At 43.6% G+C, this 1112-nt stretch overlaps 1 annotated feature.

Annotated features, from left to right (window-relative positions):
- Positions 719–768: a silencer, noted in NCBI's record as "silent region_3190". NCBI's record gives its function as "represses an Ori minimal core promoter by ATAC-STARR-seq in GM12878 lymphoblastoid cells {active_cell/tissue: GM12878}" and the evidence as "EXISTENCE:reporter gene assay evidence [ECO:0000049][PMID:35858748]".

Here is a 1112-nt window from a genome sequence, read left to right as displayed (position 1 = left end):
CTCCCCTGACTCAATTTTTAATTTGTCCCGCTCATTTTACCTAAGGAATGACTCTCCTGTTGGTTTTCCTTATCTTTATTCTCTTTTTTTTTTTTTTTTTTTTTTTTTTTTTTGACAAAATCTCCCTTTGTCAAACAAGCTGGAGTGCAATGGGGTGATCTCGGGTTACTCAACCTCCGCCTCCCGGGTTCAGGGGATTTTTTCACCTCACCCTTCCGAGCAGCTGGGATTACAGGCATGGGCCACCACACCTGGCTAATTTTTGGGTTTTTAATAAAAAAGGGGGTTCACCATGTTGGCCGGGCTGGGCTAACTCATGGGCTCAACTGGCCAAGGGTCTGAAAATGTAGGCCTGAACCACTGCACCTGGCCGGCATTTCGTTGGCTTTTAGTTCAAATAAAATTCTACTTCCTGTCCTAAAGGGGAAGTGAGATATGTAGATAGACAACACAGTTTAGTAAGAGCCTCAACAGAAGCACACACTGGTGGCAATCCAAATTTTGCTGGGGTATGGGAAGTCAGCAAATAGTAATTAGAATAGCTGCCATTTTTAATTGCAATTGCAAGACTGTGCCCTACAGTTTAAATACTTTATCTGATTTAAGCTGCAGAGAAGGCTTTGATGTTCTCAGCTGGATAAACTGAGGTTTAGAGAGGTTTGTGTTTAGGACCTTCTCCAAGGTCACATATGTAACAGGTGCAGAGCCAGGACTGCAGGCTGGTTTGTCTGACTTCAGAACCTGTGATACACTGAACAAGGCCAAGAGGTTCAGCAGTGGAGACCCCTTTCTTCTTCGTGGATCTCCAGCACTTGGTTTAAATGGCCAGGTGAGCCCTTATGCTTGGGGAAATGTCTGACTTGTTTGAGAACAGGCACCATATCTTGTTCATCACTGCATGCTTAATGCCTAGCAGGGTCCAGGCACTCAGTAGTTGCTTTCTGAATTAGATTATCCCATTGAAAACCTACACTTCAACCCACATTACTCTTCACTCTTGCACATTGTCTTCTTCCTCTTAATAAGTCAAACTTGTTGAAAGTATTGCCCATCTACACACCTTCTGATTCTTCACTTCTGATCATATGTTAACCCACTCCAGCCTGGTTTCT

The sequence above is a fragment of the Homo sapiens genome, chromosome 11, assembly GCF_000001405.40.
Source record: "Homo sapiens chromosome 11, GRCh38.p14 Primary Assembly".
In the NCBI taxonomy this organism is placed as follows: Eukaryota; Metazoa; Chordata; class Mammalia; order Primates; family Hominidae; genus Homo; species Homo sapiens.
Note: the sequence above shows the minus strand (reverse complement) of the source record. Positions and strands in the feature narration are given on the sequence as shown.